The following is a 21,744-nucleotide window of genomic DNA, read 5'->3' as shown; positions in this document are numbered from 1 at the left end:
GCTCTCTAACGTTTCTCTTGGACAGTTCAAAAACACCTGGTTTTGTCTACAATATTCACCAATAGATCTACCTTTTTTGTCTCGTGAAGGGGAGCAGATGGCAGGATAGTGGAGTAGGATTGTTATATAGCAGGACCCCTAAGGTATTCTCTCAGATGCAAAAGGAAGCTCCAGCCTCATGGGTTTCCCATGGTCTTTCACAGTTTGCTGTCTTGGTCTACAGTACTCTGCTCACAGCTCATCTGTCTTCCTCTCTAATAGTCTTCCTTTAGAAAAAGTAAAAGAAGAGGAGGGTGGAGCTAGAGCAAAATTGTGGCCAGAAAGGAATTCTTCTCTTACAAAGTGAAGTCACAGCATATATAGGCAATGTACATTTTAGTGATGCAACTTCAATTGTATTTGCTGAGCCAAGAAAGTTAGACAGAGAGGAGAGACAGTTTCAATAGTCCAGATGATTCTGATGGTCATTCCTTCCAAGGATACTAAGCAGATGCCCCGGAGTAAACTGCTGTGGGTGACAAGTGTATGTGTTTCCTCAGAGCTCATGCTTCTTAAAATGTGAGCATCTTGACATCCTGAATGCGCTTCAAGGATAGCTTTGACTATACTTGAATTTTGTCTTCATTACTCACTTTAAAACCTACTTAAGATGTGATGCCGCCATAGGTTTAAAAAAAAAAAAAGTTCCAAAGCAAAACAAAACCAATAAAAGGAAACAAAATAAAAATCTGTTTACCATAAAAGAATCTCTACACTGCCCACAAAATCTACACTTTGAAAGAAATAATGTAAATTACAAGAAAGAAGCCAAAGAAACAAAACTCTTTAATTCCTTAGAAGAAAACCAGTTCTTTGTTTCTTCAGGAACACAATGATTTTTTAAAATCTTATTAGTTTTGCCATAACTTTTTGCATGCACATATACATATATTTTTATTGCTTATTATTGCCTATAAACGACTTACTCTTTCTTCTGCCATTATTCCTTAATAATTCAATTCACCAAGTGGAAGTTTCTAGTTTAAGTGCAACTGCAATTCCCCTCTTAAAATGTGATAATAGTTCCTTTCCTAAAGTTAATTTTTGAAGTAATGCCAAACGTTCTTGAAAAATATTTGGGAGGATATGAAGACTCATTTCAAACGATTCTTAGAGGTACATTTCCTTATTCTTCTCTGTAAGCCAGTCATCAAACCTAAAAGAGAACCAGAGACCAAGGATTTTAGGTATCTTGACAAGTCATGTTACATATCACAATTAACATCTGCACTGCTAATCTTGTCAAGAAAGGAAAACACTGAATATATGAATGCTTGGAAATGCAGTAGCTCTTTCCTTCCTTATTTTAATAGTTCTGTTAAAACTATATTTTTGCTTTAAAAATGGAAACATATAACATATCACAGTTCACAGTGAAAGAATTTTTCTGTTAAGTATGATTAGAAGAATTTTTTAAAAGAGCCAGAAAGCTTTACCACAACATACTTTTTTTGTAATCCATTTGAACATGAAGTATATAAAGATGTTTTTTATACATCTAGTTTTGTTAGCAAAGCTGAGAGTGATATACGTGCCCACATAAATGAAATCAAAATGTCCAATAAATACTAATTATAAAATCACTGGATCTACTTCAGAAAATTTCATGTCATTGATTCTTAGAGTATATAATTTCCAATGCCTGTATAGAGTATTTTTCTATCTGAAAAAACAAGTTCTTGAATTAATAAGGATTCTATCATGCAGTCACCAACAAGGATGCTGTTAAATAAACAGAGGCAATGTGGCCTGTGCCTGATTCTCTAATGATATGAAGGAAGCAGATGGTTTGAGAAAAGATGTGTCAGTGCAAGATGGTAAATCATAAACAGGCATATATTGCCAGCTTACCTTAAATCCAGCCTGCTTTCCAGTCCCTAAAGATCCCTTAGTGCTGCCACTCAAATTGAACTTAACCGTGTCAGATTTTTGATTGATATCTTTAAACACGTAGGCAGTATAGACAACGTATGAGAAACTGAGCTGTGGCCATTTTCACAATCAATACTGATCATCCCAACCACGGTGATCATAGGTTAATTTACACCTGTCATTGAGATAACCAGAGGGAATGGAATGGCTTGGCTTTTCTCCATTCACTTGGTATATTTTGTTAGGGACTTGAGTACTCTGAACCCAGAATGTATTCTCATAGAAAGAAATTTTTAAAAGCAAAAATCTAGCATGTCCTTCAAGAAAACAGCAAACCATAATGTGACACCAATTTAGCATCAATTTCAAAGAATAATAATAATGATAATAATCACACCCCCCCCATGCATCCAAATATACAATGTATGGCTCTGTCAATGTAATTTATATCATTTTATCCACTTCACATATAATTTAAATTTAATAAAGTTTATGAGGAAGTCACATCACAGGCTTAGAATATTCTAGTCCATTGGCACTGAAGCTAAGCAAAATGGACCCTGGGGTGTCAAGCAAGGAAATAAACAAAGAATGGATGACAAGAAAGAAAGCATCTACTCCACAGTGAGATCCAAAGAAGAAACTTCAAGCAACCTTGAAAGAGAAAACACTAAAAAGTAACTTTAACTCTTATAGGGGATTAGAAAACACAGGGTTTGCTCATCTTTTGGCATGAGCAATTAGAATTTTTGTTTGTTTTGTTTTTAAATAAATGCTCTGTATGTTTACAAACATGACCTACTCATCTATAGTGACCATTTTAATTAAACAAACCAATGAAAACAGGCTTGAATTTCAGTATATTTAACAGACCATCTTAGGGATTCAAAAGGCTCCGAGATAGGCAGCCAGCCAAACAACGCACTTTCAAAGAGCACTAGCTCCTAAGGTAGTAGTGAGGACCATCAACCGAAAAATGTAGTTTATATCAGTTCAAATCTGCTGTTGGCATCACACTGATCATCCATGCTCAATCACCTGGATTCCATCTTTAAAAATCTCATCTTTATATGAGGAAAATGTAATTTGCTGTTGTGATTTCTAGTTCATATTTTAAAATGAGTTAGTTTATACTCTGCTCACCCCCTGCAAACAAGCATATTAAAGAAATCATTACATCGTTATTTTATAACAAATAGAGAGATCTAATGGCAGATTAGCATTCAGCTTCTGAGGAAAAAGTTGGGCATGTTTCCTGTTTCATGACTTTGGGTTTCTTCAACTTAATGCCATAGAACTTGGAGAGCCGTTTTTAATCATTGGTATATATTTACAGTTTGCTTCAGGAGCCCAGTAAGCTAAGACAGTGTAGCAAGGCCTGGTATATGTCTTAAGCTCTGCCTGAGGTGTTTGTAGCATATCCAATTGAAAGGAGAATACATTGTAGTGGCTATAACAGTGATTACCAAGAAGCCAGGCTTTAGATTTAGCGAAAAACACTCCGAAAGGAAAAGAAACTTGGTCCCCAGTAGCCTTGCTTAAAGGGAGAACATGAAAGCTATACGTGATGATCTTAAAATCATCTGTTTAGTCAAATAACACCATTTCATCCTCTATCACCTGTGTCACATTTTAATCAATGAGGCTTCGGAACTATAATTAAGACCCACCTAATGTAGTTATATTAACTAAAATAATACTACTGTCAACAAGGTAGCCCTAAAATAGCTTATTTATGAATAAATAGGTAGATACATATAGATACAGATTCTCCCAAGATACATACCCCAAGTAATTCATTAGTTATAACATGGCCATGAAGTATGCTGTTTCTTGGTGTTCCATTTACATTTCATGCTGAAAGGGAGAACATTTGGGAGTGTTTCAGACAGATAAAAAATACTCTTAGTGATTGATTTTGAACCGAAGCCAATTGTTCTAGACAACAGCTTAACTTTATAAATCTTGCCAAAGGTTCACAGATCTTGAAACTTTTGACTGTCAACTAGATTAAAAAATAAAGGTTCACTGTGCAGTTCACTTTTATTAGGGAGAAACAGACTGACATCCTAAGCAGTATCGATAATATTTGGCAAGGGCCAGCTGTCTTATGATTTTATTAATGTGGTAGACTGAGGCACAGAGGCCAAGTCAAGAACTTAAAAAAGGAATTACTTAACATACTTTACAGCATGAAATCAAAAAGACACAGAGACTGCGATTATAAATCCAGCATAAATTTTTACTTCCAATGAATACAAAACTAGATTAGTTATTTTGTAATGTTTCATGCTGCAAGGTGCCCCAGTGTTTGTTAAATATATAAAGCACATTTCAAAAATTTTTACTAAAATATTAAAGACAATAGAATATTTCATTTTCACTGGCTCACTTTTCATCAACTCACAAGGATACTTTAAGTTTTATAATTTCTATTTTGACTTATTATCTTAATAATTGGCTTGCATATTACCTATAGGTAATAGGAAGCATTGTTTCTAAGTTGATTGTGCCTGTCAGCATTAATGGTAGAGGATGACAAAGGAATTTGGAAATTATGTTTAGACCATTTAGGTCTTCACAGTTTGGATAACAATTGGAAGGTTATCTTAAAGAACATGTAACGATTTTATACCAGGTGATTCTCAAAATAGCAAAAACAAAACTTTTCCACATTTGCTTTTGACTTTTATATTACAAGTTATCTTGTTTCTTCATTCTCTGGTGTCCTGGCTAGATTCTTTTGAATCCTCCATAGCTCTTTCAACGTTCTAGGCATATCTCACCCTCCTTTTGCCCCTTCAGGCCTAGGGGTAATGATAGTTTCCTACTTTTTTAGGTCCTTGTCTCCCTCACTAAATCCTTATTAGTTTAATTTCACCATCCCACATGCCACAAAAGCTCCTTCATTAAACTCTTTTCGATTAATACCTTTGAGTGCCATTTCTTTTATGCCAGCACACTGAAAGATGCTCAAGCCATGGCACCTCACAGGGAGGAGTCATGCTTTCACATTGTGATTTGATAAATGCCTCAAAGCCTTCTCTACCACAAAGTCAAATTCATCTGCCATTGCGCTTCAAGAACCCCTGTATTTGGATTAAAGCAGCTTTATAAGGCTCTTTGCTATGGTTTGGCTCTGAGTCCCCACCCAAATCTCATCTCAAATTGTAATCCTCACATGTCGAGGAAGGGAAGTGATTGGATCATGGGGCACTTTTCCCCACGCTATTGCCATGATAGTGAGTTTTCAAGAGATGTCATGGTTTCATAAGTGTTTGAAATTTCCTCCTACACACACTCTTTCTCTCTCCTGCCGCCTTGTGAAGAAGGTCCTTGATTCCCCTTGCCTTCCACCATGATTGTGAATTTCCTGAGGCCTCCCAGCCATGCGGATCTGTGAGTCAATTAAACCTCTTTCCTTTATAAATTACCCAGTCTCGGGCAGTTCTTTATATCAGTGTGAAAACAGACTAATACACTCTTACTGAAGTGTAGATATCCTTCCAGAGAATAATAGCCTTTTTGGTCAATGACATTGTAATATTAATAAGCTTATCAGAGAAGTCACCACCAGTTATTATGCCAAGAAGATGGGTAATTTAAATAGGACAGTTTGGAAAATAATAAAGCATATTTAATTGTTAAGGGAAAGCAAATCTAGATGGAAAGCAAATGTGATTAACCATAACTTTTCAGAAGAAATTATTGGAAATAACCCAGATGATGCAAAAAGATAACCCTTCAGGAGACAAGGTCTATTTGTGCACCAAGACTGTTTTCTTCTAGATACAGGATTTCATGGCAATTTCTCCCTCTGCCTCCATTTTGTTCCCTTACATTAACTAAGACATTTTATTCTGAGGGTAATACAGGCTTTCCTAAAATTTTGCATGCAAATTTTATCTTCATCTTGAGAGATTTTTAAAGATTATTGAAAAGCATATTGATGTGGCAACAAAATTTTTACATTTCAGAAACATGATAAATAATTCATGCCTTGTATAAAAGTGTGATGACAATGGTTTGTCTGTGATAAATATGGCAACATTGTATCTATTGAATATTTGGGACTGCTCGTCACACTACTAATAAAACAGTAACTAAAGTATAAGAGACACAATTTCTCTTCTTTTGTCAAAAAATAGCAGTTGATGATTGGCAATAACAGAGCAGAAAAGATTGCAGAAAAATCTCTGCAAAATGTATATAGATGTTATAAAATTCAAATGCAATATTTATTATTTTAAGAGAGAAATTTACCTTTCAAGAAACCATATTAATGAAGTAATTTCCCTGGATTTGCAAGGTGTGTTCAGAGATAAACATACATTTTAGATTGGAAAACGTAATCCTCCTATGTATCACCCTGAGAGGGCAAAATTTCTCTCTACAAACTCTATTATACAGGCCATTTTCAATAACAGAGTAATGGCATTTTCAACAGTTCCCTTAGGAGATTCTTTCAAAATATAACATTTTATTTCTTCCCATTTTAGAGTAGTTTTTCTTTATGTACAGCTGAATTTAAGCAATGTATTTCACAATGGTATTCTACATGTACACTAAAATGACATATTAGCCTTTTAAAAAGTCACCTTTTCCCCCTAAACTTTGTGAAAAGTAATTGCATCCCTTATCATTGTAAGCCAATATAGTTATAAAAAATCTAAACTACTTTTAAGTTTTCAATAAATTTGCTAATCATCTTTTTTTTTCTTAAATATCCTCCCACTTACTTGAATATACCTGTATCAAAGGACTAAATTCTGCACTGTTGTCTGTATTTCATCAGAGCTCTGTCTCAGAATAATTACTAATAATTATTTTAGCATCTTTAGGCTGTAAGGAAATGTTTTGTTATGTATCCTGTGAATCTGGATTTCTGAAGACTAAAAGCTCTGATGGTTAAAGAAATTATGATTAAATGGTTAGGTGGGATACAAAAAACAACCTAATTATATTTTACTTTGGGGAATTCCCAGTCCCTTTAACTCCAAAATAGCTGGGAGATAAGTGATCTGAATGCAGCTATTTTGCCTTTGTTAATTTCACTTGAACATTCCAAATATTATTAAAAATATTATGCTATAAATTCTTACCAAAGTTTCTCATGTACAGGTTAGAGGTGTTCCTGTTATTCACTATTTTCTTGATGAAAATTATTTGCCACATAATGTTTTACATGCAGTTTCTCTGTTGGCTCACCAGTCTGAGGCTCAGTGCTAACTTTTTTTTTCTAAATATATCTAATAATTATCTGCAATGTGCCAGGCCATAGAAAGAGATGTTGTTTCATAGCTACATAGATGTATGAAAAAAGCAAAGTGTGTGATTTCATGGTGCTTATATTCTAGTGTGAGAGATAGACCATTAACAAATAAATGTATTGTGAAAGGTAGTGATGAGTGCTATCAACAAAAACAAAGCTAGCGGGCCGGGCACAGTGGCTGGCACCTATAATCCCAGCATTTTGGGAGGCCGAGGAGGTTGGATCAGTTGAGATCAGGAGGTCAAAGCCAGTCTGACCAACATGGCGAAACCCCATCTCTACTAAAAATACAAAAATTAGCCAGGCGTTGTTGTGCGTGCCTGTGATCCCAGCTACTTGGGAGGCTGAGGCAGGAGAATTGCTTGAACCCAGGAGGTGGAGGTTGCAGTGAGCCAAGATCACGCCATTTTACTCCAGCCTGGAAAACGGAGTGAGAATCTGTCTCGAAAAGAAAAAGATAAGAGGATAAAAATTGACTGAGTAGAGGATATCATTATTTTTAAAGGTGGTAAGGAAATGCCTCTATGAAGAATTGACTTTTGAGAGGACACCTACATGAAGTGAAGGAGTGAATCTAAGTCCCAGGAGAAGAATATTCCAGGCATACATAATACCAAATCCACAGACCCTGAGACTACATTAAGCATGTTCAAGGCACAGCAAGAAATTCAGTGTGGGAGAGCAGGGAAGTACAGGGAAAGAAGTGAGGTATGAGATTAGAAAGCTCTGCAGGAACCAGATCATGAGAGGCTCTCTAGGCCATGGAAAGGAGTAATGGCTTTCACCCAGGTGTGATTGGAAGCAGAGGAGTGAGGCATTCTGCTTTAAATACTGTGTTAGTCTGAATAATAGTCCCCCAAATATATCCATGTCTTAGTCCCCAGAATGTGTGAATATGTTTACCATACATGACAAAAAGGACCTTCAGGCATGATTAAGTTAAGGATCTCATTTTGAGATGGGAAGATTATCCTGGATGATCCAGGTGGCTCCGTGTAATCAAAGTGATCCCAGTAAGAAGGATGAAGGAGTCAGAGGAGATGGTGATGTGATGATGGAAGCAGAGGTTAGAATGATGTGTTTTGAAGATAGAGGGAGGAGTCACATGTCCAGGAACATAGATGACCACAGGAATCTGAATAAAAGGAAAGGAAATGAATTCTTTCCTCAGAATTTCTAGAAGGAACCAGCCCTCTCAACACCTTGACTTTAGCCCAGTGAGACTGATTTCAGACTTTTAACCTTTAGAAATGTAGAAAAATAAATGCTGGTTGTTTTAAGCCACTAAGTTTGTGGTAATTTGTCTCCGTGGCAACAGGAAACAAATGTAAATATGCTAGAGATTAGTGAATAGAATGTTGAGAAAATGGGGAAGAAGCAAGTCCTGTTAAGAAATGAGAGTGGCCACTGGGCCCAGTAGCTCACGCCTGTAATCCCAGTACTTTGGGAGGCCAAGGAGGGCAGATCACCTGAGGTCGGGAGTTCGAGACCAGCCTGACCAACAAGGAGAAACCCCGTCACTATTAAAGATACAAAATTAGCTGGACGTGGTGGCACACGCCTCTAATCCCAGCTACTCAGGAGGCGGAGGCAGGAGAATCACTTGAACCTGGGGAACAGAGCTTGCAGTGAGCCGAGATTGCGCCACTGCACTCCAGCCTAAGTGGCAGAGCGAAACTCCATTTCAAAAAAACAAAAAAAAAAGAGAGTGGCTTGGGCCATGCAGTTTGCAGGGAAGCTGGTAGATGAAAGGACTTGCTACGTGCTTGGTTATGTGATTTGAGTAAAAAACAGATGTAACAAATTATCACAAATTTAGAGACTTATAGCAACACAAATTTATTGTCTCAGTTGTCACCCATTTAGTATCTCATGAACCTAGGTGGGCTTGACGTGCTTAGGGTCTCAGAAGGCTGAAATCAAGGTGTCAGCTGAGCTAGACTGTTATCTGGAGGCTCTGAAGAAGAATTGGCTTCCAGTTTATTGAGACTGTGGCCAGAATCCAGTTGCTTGTGTTTGTAGGACAGAGACACCTGTTGTGTGCGAGCTGCCCAGTGGGGGGCTGCCCTCAACTCTTAGAGGCTGCTCTCACATCATTTTTATTCAGTCCCTTTGTCTTCAAAGCCAGCAATTGCCAATTGAATCCTTCCCGTCCTTGGAATCTGGACTCCCACCTGCCACCAGCTGGAGAAAACACTCTGCTTATAAAGGACTCATGTGATTAGATTAGGCCTACCAACAATCTCTTTTGATTAACTAAAACACAACTGACTAGTAATTTTATTACATCTACAAAATCCCCTTTGCCATATAGTTCAACACAATCACTGGTTCAATCTTATCATATTCATAGTCGCAGAGATTAGGGTGAAAATATTGATGGGAGAGGCATTTTAGATTTTTATGTAACATGTGTCAAGGACGATACTCCAAATACCTTTTTTCCTGCATTGAGCAACTAGGTCATCAGTGTGCCATATACAAGAACGGTAAATTCAGGGGAATTTTCTAAAAAAATGCAAGAATTGTGTAACTTGAAAATGCCAATTAGTAATCCAATACTCCTGATAAGTAGATAGTCAAATATACTGATATTGTCCCTAGGAGAAAGATTAAGGGCTAGAAATATAAATTGGGGAATCCACATATTTATGTTGTGTAAGACCAAGTGATTACATGCGCTCACATAGGTGAAGTGCAGATAAAGAGCTCTGAGCATTCTAACATTTAGGGATCTGGCAAGGGTGTGGTATCATCAAAGGAAACTGAACAGGAAGGTGAGAGATGGATTAGGAAAATCTGGAGAATGTGGCTTGATGGATCTTGGACTTACCCCCCAAACCTACCGATTCAGAATTTGTTGATGAGAACAATTTGTGTGCTTAAAACTCTCCAGTGAACTCTAATACAAGATGAAGCCTGAAAACGTTATTAGTTTAGACCACTGGGAAAGGAGCGAAGGCAGACAGGTAAGTTCTAAATGTCTTGCGTTTCAAAGTGTGATTCTTGAACACCATCAGCAGAATCACTTAAGGAACTGTTAGAAATGCAGGAACTCAGGACCCAATCAGATGTACTGAATTGGAATCTACATTTTAATGATTTTCCTAGGTGACTCATATACATATTAACATTTGAGAAGCACTGAGCTGTGATATATTAATTTAAAGTGATGGTAAGACAGTCCAGGTGTAAATACACACGCGTATACCTACAGATCACATGGATTCCATATCTGATGTTTTATTCCATTTAAAATATAATCTTTCAGACATCTTTTAAAGTATATAAATTATTATGTCTTTAAATCCTTATTAATTTAGCAAAGTATTTTCCCCCATTTATCCAATGCTTAAAATCACTTGGGGCAAGTCTCTACCACCTCTGATGATTGTGAGAAGTGGAAACGCTAACCCAGAGACTAGGAGAGAAACAAGGCTGAAGTTATATTATTAGTGTCCTGGGTACAAATTGTCAGAGACCACAGGCATGAAAATGAACGTCATCAGTTTTTCCTGCTCTCATCTGATTAAATATCCCTGGAATAGGAAACAGTGGAATTGTATAAAGGCAAATTGCTTCATAACATTGTGTACTACTATTGTGTATGACCTGTATTCAGGCTCGCTTTTGCAACACTTTTTAAAGGGGACAAAATATTATGTAAGTGGCTTATTTTTCACTTGGACTTCAGCCTGAAAATTAATCTCTAAAGTATTATTACTTCACTGCTTAACACCTTAGTCTGCACTTTAAAATGTGCTTCACATCAAATTAGATTTACCAAGTTTGTCTGAGAAACAATGCAAATTGCAAGAAATGGAGAGTAATTCAGGAGATAGCAGTATATGAATGAATTTTTGAAAGGAAAAACGTGAAATACTAATACAAGAAATGATGAACTATAGAAGAAAGTAAATATGATCTGCAATAAGGTAAATACAATGTTCCACATCAAGCAGTTTGCTTAAACATTGAAAGTTGGTTTGAATAATGAAGGTCTGTCTCTTTGGACTATTGTCATTCAATGGATTGCAATGTAAAATACTAATAGAGAGCACATAAAATTATCAGAGAAACTTTTCTTTACAGCAATTAGCTTTAGCAGATGAGAAAAAGGCAGCTTATTTTCATGCCCTGCAGAAGAAGGCTGAAGATGTACAAGGAAATGCTCTTCATTCTTAGTGAGCCATAAAGTCTGTTCAAATAGCAATATCTTCTCTGGCAGTGAATTCCCTGCTTGGCGTGGCCATGTGTTATTGTATTTGGACTGTCTCCATCTGCAAATGTTGACTTTTCATCTGTGACCAAGGAAGAAATCTGTATGAGAAATGTGTAAAACATTTAATCCTTGTTTACTTGTTCACCAGAGGTTTTGTCCAATCCTGGTGGTGTGGATTCGTGTGCGTTTGTTTCTCAAGGTTACTGCAGATGCATTCACAAATGCAGATCTAAAACTCTGATAGAACCACTAGATTTTTATTTACATTTAAAAACGTAGTTATTCAAAATATAATTTCACACTCAAAAATCTAAATGTGACCTCAGTACTAGAGTAATTTTTTTTTTTTTTTTGAGGCAGGATCTCGCTCTATCTCCCAGGCTAGAGTGCAGTGGTGCGATCACTGCTCACTGCAGCCTCAATCTCCCAGCTCAAGCAATCCTTCCACCTTAGTTCCCCTGAGTAACTGGCACCACAGGCGCATGACACCATGCCTGGCTAATATTTGTATTTTTTGTAGAGCCGGTGTTTCACCGTGTTGTCCGTGCTTTTCTCCAAGTGCTGGGATTACAGGCATGAGCCACCATGCCTAGCCTAATCTATCTGAACAATAGATTGATTTATCATTTCTTTGCTCTCTCTTGGGCTTTTCTTTACTGAAATGAAGTAGCATTGGAAAGTTTGATTCTCATGTTGTATCGATGACAAACCACAATGATATTTAATTAAGGAATAAAAGAATGTATAGAGGGCATGCATCAAAATCTAGCCTTTTTATCCTCTCAATTTATAGGTAACAGACTGGGAGCTAGGGAGTCTAAGCTTACTTTCTTAAAGTCCATACCAATTCATCATTCTACTAGGGCTAAAATCTATTTATTTGTTTGCCTATCTGTAATGATCTTGTGTCTTGAGATTTTCCTATCGATTCTGATTTTAGATATTCTATACAATAGTCTTTTGAATCTAACATGAACTAAATCAGAAATTATTGAATAAATGAATGGAAAGCATTTCTCCCCAAAGTACACACAAATCTGTCATATTTACCTTTGGATTTGGACTGTCCACATAACTGTTCTATATGATTTCATATAAAATCTGAATACAATGGCAATGAGATTCACACCCTCTGGCTGGTTTTCTGTATAATAAGAGCGGAGTAATAACTAAACATCTATTTATTATTGTATGACATTCATTTAAATGTATTGATTGGGCATAGAATAAAGTGGGCATAGAATAAAGTGGTCTGAAATAGTAATGCAGTCTCCAAAGGGCATGAGGGCAATGCTGAACTATTTCCTGGTTTTCATGCCAACTTTCATATTTGAAATTAATTTTACCATGTTTAGATTTGAGGCAAATTAATGGATTTTATTTTTAATAGCAACTGTTCAATAAATATAGAACATAGAGTAGAATAGTGGATATTAGGGTGTCTATCAAGTAAATTTGCCTCTGACATTTCTTTCAGGTCCCTCCAGATTTACATAAACCTATAGTTTTAGCTTTCCATTCAATCCACAAAAAAAGTTATGCTGGTACACACTGTCTCAAAAAATAAATAAATAACACACACACACACACACACACAGAGAGAGAGAGAAAGAGAGAGAGAGAGAGAAAAATTGAGGGATAAAATGAGCTAGTAAAAATACTAAATTTTGTTGTGTTAGTATTCTGGAGATACTAAAATTAACTTCAAATGAATGAATGAGAATATTTGTTTCCCCGAAATTTTATTATAGAAAGATTGGTTAAGGCAAAGAACAAGTATGAAGATTAAGATTTTGCTGAGCATATCAATAGCTGTAAGTGCAAAGCAAAATTACAGAGTAAAAGTTTACATAAAAAGGAAATTTCTTTAAAACATCACTATATCTAAATGTCAGGGAAACTGCTTTAGCAAATCCAAATCAGTGGAATGCATCTTTCATTTTAAAGTGTTTGGGAGTGCACAAGTCTTTGCTTAATAGACACTCATGATAGCACAAAGTCTTGGAGAAATACAGTGAAATTGGAACTTAGGAACAAACGTTTTGCATAAAAATAGTGATGTATGTTCTTACTACAAAAATAATATTATAACATGACAGTCAGATGTGTATTCCATCCAAGAGGAATTTGCCTATAATAAAAATTGAACAAAATGAAAAATGGAGTGAGATGTGATGAATTTGATCCTAAATCATATGAAAATGACTTATTTATTTTACAAACCAATTTTGGCAGTCGGTTTAAACTTATGTTACCTAACAGTAAAAATTCTAAGAAAAATTTATTCATAGAAAAGATGAAAATTTCATACAGTATGAAAACTAACCAGAAATGTAAAAAGTCCCATAGCTTTTTTAAAGAAATGCCAGTTTCTAGCTTTGGTATTAAAGGGTTTCAAATAATGAGATTGAAAGGTCGGTGGTCAACAGGCCAGAAGCTATTTCTTAATTACAGCAGTGAATTAATCAATGAAGTAACAGTTCTGCTTCTGGTTATAGTAAAATGACATCAAGAACCACTCAAGTATTCTACTACTTAAGTATAGTTGGAGTTCCATTAACTTGAATTGTTTTACACTTTAAACTTGCATCTTTTAAAGTTAGTAATTCAGGCACCTGTCTGAGAGCTGCTAATGCCTAAAACTTTGAAAAATATTTTATTTGGTGTTTAACGAGAAGATGAGTTGTGTGAAGATGAATTTTGAGACCTGATATAAATATTAACTGAAACAACTTTCCAGAAGCTTTTCATTATGTGCTTTTGTTTTTGCTTTCAAAATTTAAATGCAGAGACAGATGGCTTGCACGGTGTTATTTGCACTTGTGATTTTATACACACCAAACCCAAGGATAACCAAACTCAGACATTAAAGACTGTGCAAAGCAACAAAGAATTTGAGTTAAAAAAAATCAATAAATGTTTCAGTGTTTAAAAAATTTATGATAGATTATTTTAATTATTTTAAAAGAAAGGAAATAAACTGGTGTAATGATAAAATTATAGAAAGTATTTATAAGTAGTTTGGAATCCTGATCAGGATTCTACACATATATTTTATGATGTAGCACAAATAGTATATTATAAAATTTATGAAAAAATAGAGAAACAGAAAAAAACACAGATGCACATGATTACACATGCACAAACACACCACACTCACACACAAACAAAATCTGAAAACATCTAATAAGAATCCAGTACAATGATACATATGATGAATGTTAGGTTTTAATAAATATTTGAGAGACTGTATGAATGAAAAACAAATATTATTCATCAATTAATATAATTACCTATAGTAATAATAAAAATATATCAAAGAAAAAGGATTACAGTTTAGTGCATATAATTTTTGCAGTATTAGCAAACATCTGAGATTTAAAACCCTGTATATTTATGGAGAACTATAGATTATATTCAATCATATTTTGGAAAATTTCAATATTTAATAACATTTTTAAAACAATGTTTTTCTCCTTTTTAAAAGCATAAAAACTCAGTCAGTACTTCTAAAAATGAGAAAAATGAGTTAGAAACTAGTCAGTTATTAGCATATATCAGATTATAAACATGTATAGGGCAGGGACTGACTTAGGAGACCAGTCGAATGAATGTATTCCCTTTAATAATTCATCATGGAATTTTGAAAAAACATATACTTTTTCTTTTTACCAATTTATGACACTGACTTTAAGGAAGAAAACATGGAAGCATTGTTATTTTCCCATGATAAAACTCACTGGGCTTTTGTTTTTTGTTTTGTTTTGTTTTCTCCTTAATATCACAGCAATTACTGGGAATTACATAGAGACCCAAAGAAACAAATTAAACTTTTCCCTATTTAATGTCATGTCCCAAAATAAAAACTTACCGAAGCATAAAGTAAGTACCCCATAAATACATACACCTACCATGTAACTACAAAAATTAAAAATAAAAACTTTTAAAGCATAAAGCAAATTATATTTTCCAACAATACAGCTCATACTGTAATGATACACAGCAGAGAAGCAGATTATTGATGGATTGATTGATGTATATAGGTTTTGTTTTTGTTTTTGTTTTTATTTTTTGCTGTCTTGGCTCAGTTTTGAGCCCCGGTCTAGAGACTGGTCAGTTTCCCCTTCTTGAGCAGCTAAATCCATATTCCTCTAGTTCTCTTCTAGTGATCTCACACTTCTGGGTCACAAAGCAACCTCCCTAAGCAAATGCTTTGATACTAGATAATTTGACATTGCTGTTTTTACCTGGTTCTTGAGAAATTATTCAAATTAGCCAGTCCTCAGAGAGCCCTAAAACCCTAGCTAACCCTACTCAGTTTTTCATATATAAACTGTCCCCTAGAGCTCCAGTTTGTTGTTACCTTGTTCCCAGATTCAGTCCCTTGTATGGCTCTGCCTGAAAGGCTTCTCCCATTTAGAGCTCCAACAAAAAAATTCTGCCTTTCATGTAGAGTGCCATTGTGCATGGCTGACCTGAGGATGGATCTTTAAAATTTATACAGCAACCAGTTATCTGAAAGACTTACTTATGAATCTACAAAACTTCTATAAATTTATTTATAGACTTTATCAAAATCCTTCAAGTTTACTTACAGGAATGAATCATGGGAAGTACAATGTACAAAGAACAAGTAATATTATTTAATGAAAACAAACTCATGTTTTGCAAGTTAAAGATTTTGTACAGTACATAAAATTGTAACTGTAAATGTCTTAATGCCAATTATGTAAAAAAAAGTTTAAAGAAATTGAAGAAGAAATGATGTACCTTAGCACAAAGTCTATCTGATAAGTTATAAAGAGAAAAACGTTCCTAAAACAGTTAACGGCCCCCAGATCATTTTAATGACACCTTTTACTTCCCTCTCAGCTCACTGCTCTTAAGGCAATTATGTGTTTCCCAGAATAGCTCCCAGCTTCATGAGGATAGTGTTGACATCTGTTTTGTTCAAGGCTGTAGTTGTGGTGCCTATCACAGTGCCAGCACATAGTACATTCTCAGTAAATGTTCGTGGAATAAATAAATGTTGTTGGTTGTAAATATTTTTTAAAAGGATAAATTATATTTCTTAAAATGTGTCACTCAATGCTGAAAACCTAAGGTATACATATTCTTATAAACGCGCACACAACACATTCTCAATCTTCGAGTGATATGTCTTAAATTAATAAGATGGCAGAGTGTGTTGCATAAGGCTAATTTTAAAATAGCCTTGCACATCCTCTCTTTTTTGATGAGCTCAATAAAAACCTGATGTAATGACATTTCTGAGGTAGCCAGTAATTTTTTTTCTCTTTGGAGATTTTAACAATAAAAAACTTATTAATGACGCTGGAAATGTAAAGATTAAAAGTTTGCTTGTAGGCTTCAAGATATGTTACATATCAAATTGGTGATTAACTCCATTGATGTTTAGAAAGGAGTAAATATATTTAACAGAGAAGTTAAATTATTCATTTATAAGCTGTCACAAAGTATTGCTAGGCAAAGGAATTTGCTGTTGAGGAAGCATTTGGTGTAAGATTTGTGAAATCAGCGTCTTCTATTATAATTACTTTAGGTCTGCCTTTAAGCAGGAGATATCTTTAATAATCCTCAGAACATTTTCAACCTCATAAAAGTTTAATTAACAATTAACATTGTTCGTAGATCACCACTATTGTTTAGCACTGTGAAGAATCAGAAGACCGATGTGCCATTTTTTTTCCATCAATTTTCAATCTAGTTGGGAGGAAATTAAAATTAAAACTTGCAAATGTACGGAACCCCCTCCAAAAAACAAAAAATGGAATTAAGGTAAGAGTTGAGGGAGCTCAATTAGGAAATTTGTTATTCATCAATAAAGAAAGCTCTGTGGAAATCAAGGTGCATATGAAGCATGAATTGGTAGAGTTATGGAAGCTTGCTTTTGGTGTGTGGGACATAAGCTGACCCTTGAAGAGGTCAGTAATTAAATGAAAACAGGCCCGGCAAAAAGCATCTTCTAAGCCTGTGATCCTAATGCAGGGAGCGTGGATTGGTTTAAGCAAAATGTGTTAGCTTTGTGAATGCAGAGTCACTGAGTACACCTAAGGGAGCCTAAAAGTGATAAATTAGTTTGAACTTTTAAAATGTGGCCAGATTGTAGAGGGCAAAGAAAGGCTCATAGAGAAGTTTAAATTAAATATCCAAAAAAGTGAGTAATCATTGGAGGTATGTGAGAGGAAAAGTTTTAAGTAATGAATATGTGTTTAAACAAAATAAAACTGTTTGCTCTTGAGGGGATGGGAATATGGTTCAGATGGGAAGTAATTTTAAGGATATTCTAAAAGGAAGACTTTTAGATATAAAAAAAATCGCTAAACTTTGAGTTTATATGAAATAGTGCATTTCAGCCCCTTTTTTCACATCTAGTATCTGTTCTGTTTTTAAACAATTTTTTTATATCAATAGTTTTTGGGGTACAAGTGGTTTTTGGTTACGTGGATGATTGTATAGTGGTGAGGTCTGAGATTTTAGTGCACCCATCACCCAAGCAGTATACATTGTACCCAGGAAAACTACATTCTGTATCTATTTTGATGTTGCCTGTGGTTTGCTGTCTCTGGTCTTTACCATCAACTGTTTCCTGTCTCGGTGGGAATTTTTTTTTCTCATGCAAGAAATAATTAGAATATTATAAAGGCAAATAGAAAGCTCACAATTATTGGACGTTTAAAAATATTAGTTGTGCTAACTTTGGTTTTAGCAAAGACCTACATTCCAATTATTGAGCGATTTAAATTGATGACTAAGCAAACTTGCAGGTATGTTTACTTTTTTCTGCATTTTTTTTCTGATGACTCTCTGCATTTGAAAATGCTTTATGCCTCAGGCATTCTTGTGTATCCACTTAACTTCATTTGTAAAATCAATTCCTAATTTCCAAGCTATCATTTATCTATCACGTGGCTGTTTAATCAAGGGGGGTAAGACAACAGCAACAAAGAAACCCAATTTATTTCTTAACCATTTGGCTTATGTTGTTTTTTTAGTAAAGGGCTGATTTCTATTTTAAACAGTCAGAAAATAGTTTACTTTCGAAATCCTGGTTAAAATGTATGTTCTAGATTGCCTGCTGGTGAAAAAAGTAGAAGATAAATTCTATGATCACTTTCTTCCCCCTGAATGTTAGACTCCATGTGATTTAATTTGCAATTTAGCTTCAGTTTTATACCTTAGAAATTTAGAAAATAGTTAAGCTCAGGGGAACTAAACACTGTCTGGATTCAAATGGCTTCTTCTTTACTTGGATTTCAGAATGTTTGCAGCTGACCAGGTGTGTTGTTAGTAAGATACAATAGTTATTCTTTAAAATGAGTATTTAACTTTTCAAAAATGTGACAAAATATTTTCATTTAAAAATAAGGTGTTTATGTAGAAAAAAACAATATTTTATATAATCATTTAGAGTATTTATTTTTAATGATGCTATGTTTCAAGTGGTAATTTTGCTTTTTAACTTAGTGGAGTTGTATTATTTATATATTCTTTAATATTACACATACAAATTGTTCTACTTTTTATAATTTATCATAAATATGAGTTTTTTTCTGGGATTTCTTAGAATATAAATTAGTAATAATCTGTATGCATCATGGTTATATCTGTATACATCATGGTTATACCTGTTTACCCATATCTGTCTTTTTATCTATCTATGTCTTTGGATCTAAATAACTAAATAATGGATTAAGAAGGAAAATATTAATAGATCAATCTTACCTCCCTAACAAATTTGATGCCTTTTGTGTTAATCTTTAAAAGATGGAGAAATATATCTTTGAGTTGCTTGACTTGATACACTTTTATGAAAAAATAAGATCACTAATAACATACTTTTTCTCTAAGATAATTCTAATTGAAAATTTTAACCACTTCCTTTTCTTATTTTCTCTCTCTTGTCTTCTGCAGATGGGCCTTTGGGTCCCCGAGGATTAGCTGAAGCTACAGAGATGTGCACTCAAGAGTGCTTGGTTTTGGGTCACTCTGATAATTGCTGGATGCCTCCTGGCTTGGGTCCATATCAACACCCCAAATCTCCTCTCTCAACCTTTGCACCCCAGAAAGAATGGGTGAAGAAGGACAAGCTTGTGAATGGGCACACCCTGACCAGAGCCTGGAAAGAAGACAGCAACAGGAACCAGTTCAATGACCGTAAGCAGTATGGCTCCAATGAAGGCCATTTCAACAATGGCAGCCACATGACAGACATTCCTCTGGCAAATCTGAAGTCTTATAAGCAAGCAGGAGGTGCTACTGAGAGTCCTAAGGAGCACCAACTCTAAGAAAAGGCTATATGGGACCTAATAACTTTAAATAGACATGCTAATACCGTGTGCGTCAGAGCTTTATGTATTCAATAGATCTCTACAACTATGCCCCTTCTAGCAGGGATACCTATAACTTTGTGTTAGCACCATGGAGAATACAATGTTTTTGCAACATATGAGAGAAGATAGTTCTAGCCATGCAATTTTGTTTACTAGAATTGATTACACTCTCCAGAGATCTCTCCATTGTGCAAATTTTTTTTATTATTGCATTTTATTTTGACCCTGGACTGCTGCTATGAACAATAGAATATGCATTTGGAAAGTAAGAAAGTTTCATGGATTAGAGTGACTGAAAAACATATCCAGTTAGAAAATTGTGCTTTTTTTTTTTTTTTTTTTTTTTTTTGTCATTGATTTGTGCTGGGACTGCTATACTTGACATTATACTGCAAACAAAACTTAAAGAGATAAGCATTAAACCTATTGTGCTGTTAACAACGTTAGTGGACACTTGTAAGTCAATCAGTGTTAAAGTATTTGTAAATAGAAGCAAGCTATTATTAACAACTTTTGTGTACTTATAATGTTCACCTAAAAATGTTGTAGCATAATTCTGTGTTTTATGGTTGCTTCTGTCCTTCTTTTTATTTACCTCTTTGTTGTTATTTTTGTTGTTTCTTTCAGTGAGGTGTTTCTGTGTTAGTAGTCTGTCTTGACACACATTGTTCAAACAATCTCAAGCACTTGTGTTTAAAAAAGGTTCTGAAATCTTGCTTCTCATATGATAGCTTATGATGCCGGAATTCTGTAAACAATAAAGATGAAAGAAAAAATGAAAACTTTATACAAAAAAGGACTTCTGCAAAAGCTTGGAAATTCAGAACCTATTTTTTATCATCTTATTTTCAAAGTAGGCAAAAGCAAAATCACTTAATTAGTACCATTAAGTGAGAGAGTAATGGAAAACTGTTATCCATCAAAAGTGATATAATATCCTGTACTTGTCACTCATGTAAAACTAATGTATCAAAATTAGCATATATGGAAGAAAAATCACTATTCAAAAATAGTTTCAATTGGGCAAATGTGTGTCTACAACTTTGTTGAAATGGCAGAGTCTGTGTTGATCCTCATATACAATAATGTTGTTGTAACACAAGTGTTATTAGACCATAGCCACAAAATATTTAATGTGTTGTGCCTTCATGATGTAACAGAACATTCTCCAGGTAGGGTAGTTGGGGGAAATAAAGGGATAAATCTCTAATTATTGCTGTTTAACTGTTTGTTATCATAGTTGGTCAATGCCTGGCAGGTACCAGCATATTGTCACTTAGGTCAAACCAATAAAGTGACAACTAATGTTAATAAGATCTCAGTTGCACGTGCAAACAAATCCAAATTCGAACATTCTTAGGAGGTTTTTGTTAAGGCATGACAGATGATTTAAACAAATAAATAGCATGCAACAAAATGTCTTTATTGAAAGAAGTGGAAGTTATCTTAATGCCACGGTTCACCATCAATTTAAAAGTAAAAAAAACAAAAAAAAAACAAAAAATTTAAAAAAAAGGTTTGCTAATCTGATAGTTAATTTGTTCTTACCAAAAAATAAAATTACTTTGTAAATAGCAGTTCACATTTTTCCACAGTATAATGGAAAATAATGGGTAGGGGTGCATTGCTTATTGAAGTACATTTTTGTCGGTTTGTGAGGGGTGTTTGATGACTTTGACAGAATAAATATCTAAACAATTATCCTTGTTACTGCTTTGCCAGTTCTACGTTATTTACAATTATTCAGCTCTTGCAATAAATGTTCTGAATTCCTGATTGCAGTGTGTTAATTCTTAGTCAACATCCAAATTGGTTATTTATACTTCTAATTGTTGGGTAAATATATGTTGATAAAATTTAACATTTATTTAGAAATTAAGGAAGATTCATTGGGGTTTAATACCTATCCTTTGAAAATGTGAGTACCAAGATAAGTGTTCAATTACCCTAATGGTCTTCAAAACTATTCTTTAGGGAAATTCATG

General features: G+C 34.6%; 1 protein-coding gene and 1 long non-coding RNA gene across 6 annotated transcripts in view; one reads left to right on the top strand and one right to left on the bottom strand.

Annotated features, from left to right (window-relative positions):
• PCDH9 (protocadherin 9) overlaps positions 1-21,535 on the top strand; it is a 927,503-nt gene extending 905,968 nt beyond the window's left edge. For all 5 annotated transcript variants that reach the window (XM_017020619.3, NM_001318373.2, NM_020403.5 and 2 more), the window contains one exon: positions 19,341-21,535. In XM_017020619.3, coding sequence (XP_016876108.1) covers positions 19,341-19,714 — 374 coding nt within the window. In that variant the 3' untranslated portion in view covers positions 19,715-21,535. The remainder of the gene's footprint in view (positions 1-19,340) is intronic.
• Positions 808-20,498, bottom strand: PCDH9-AS1 (PCDH9 antisense RNA 1). Its single transcript, NR_046528.1, has 2 exons — positions 20,355-20,498; positions 808-1,195 (listed from the first exon to the last, which is right to left on the bottom strand). It is a non-coding gene; the product is annotated as a PCDH9 antisense RNA 1 (long non-coding RNA).

This window comes from Homo sapiens, chromosome 13, assembly GCF_000001405.40.
Source record: "Homo sapiens chromosome 13, GRCh38.p14 Primary Assembly".
Lineage (NCBI taxonomy): Eukaryota > Metazoa > Chordata > Mammalia > Primates > Hominidae > Homo > Homo sapiens.
This window is presented reverse-complemented; position numbering and strand designations above follow the sequence as displayed.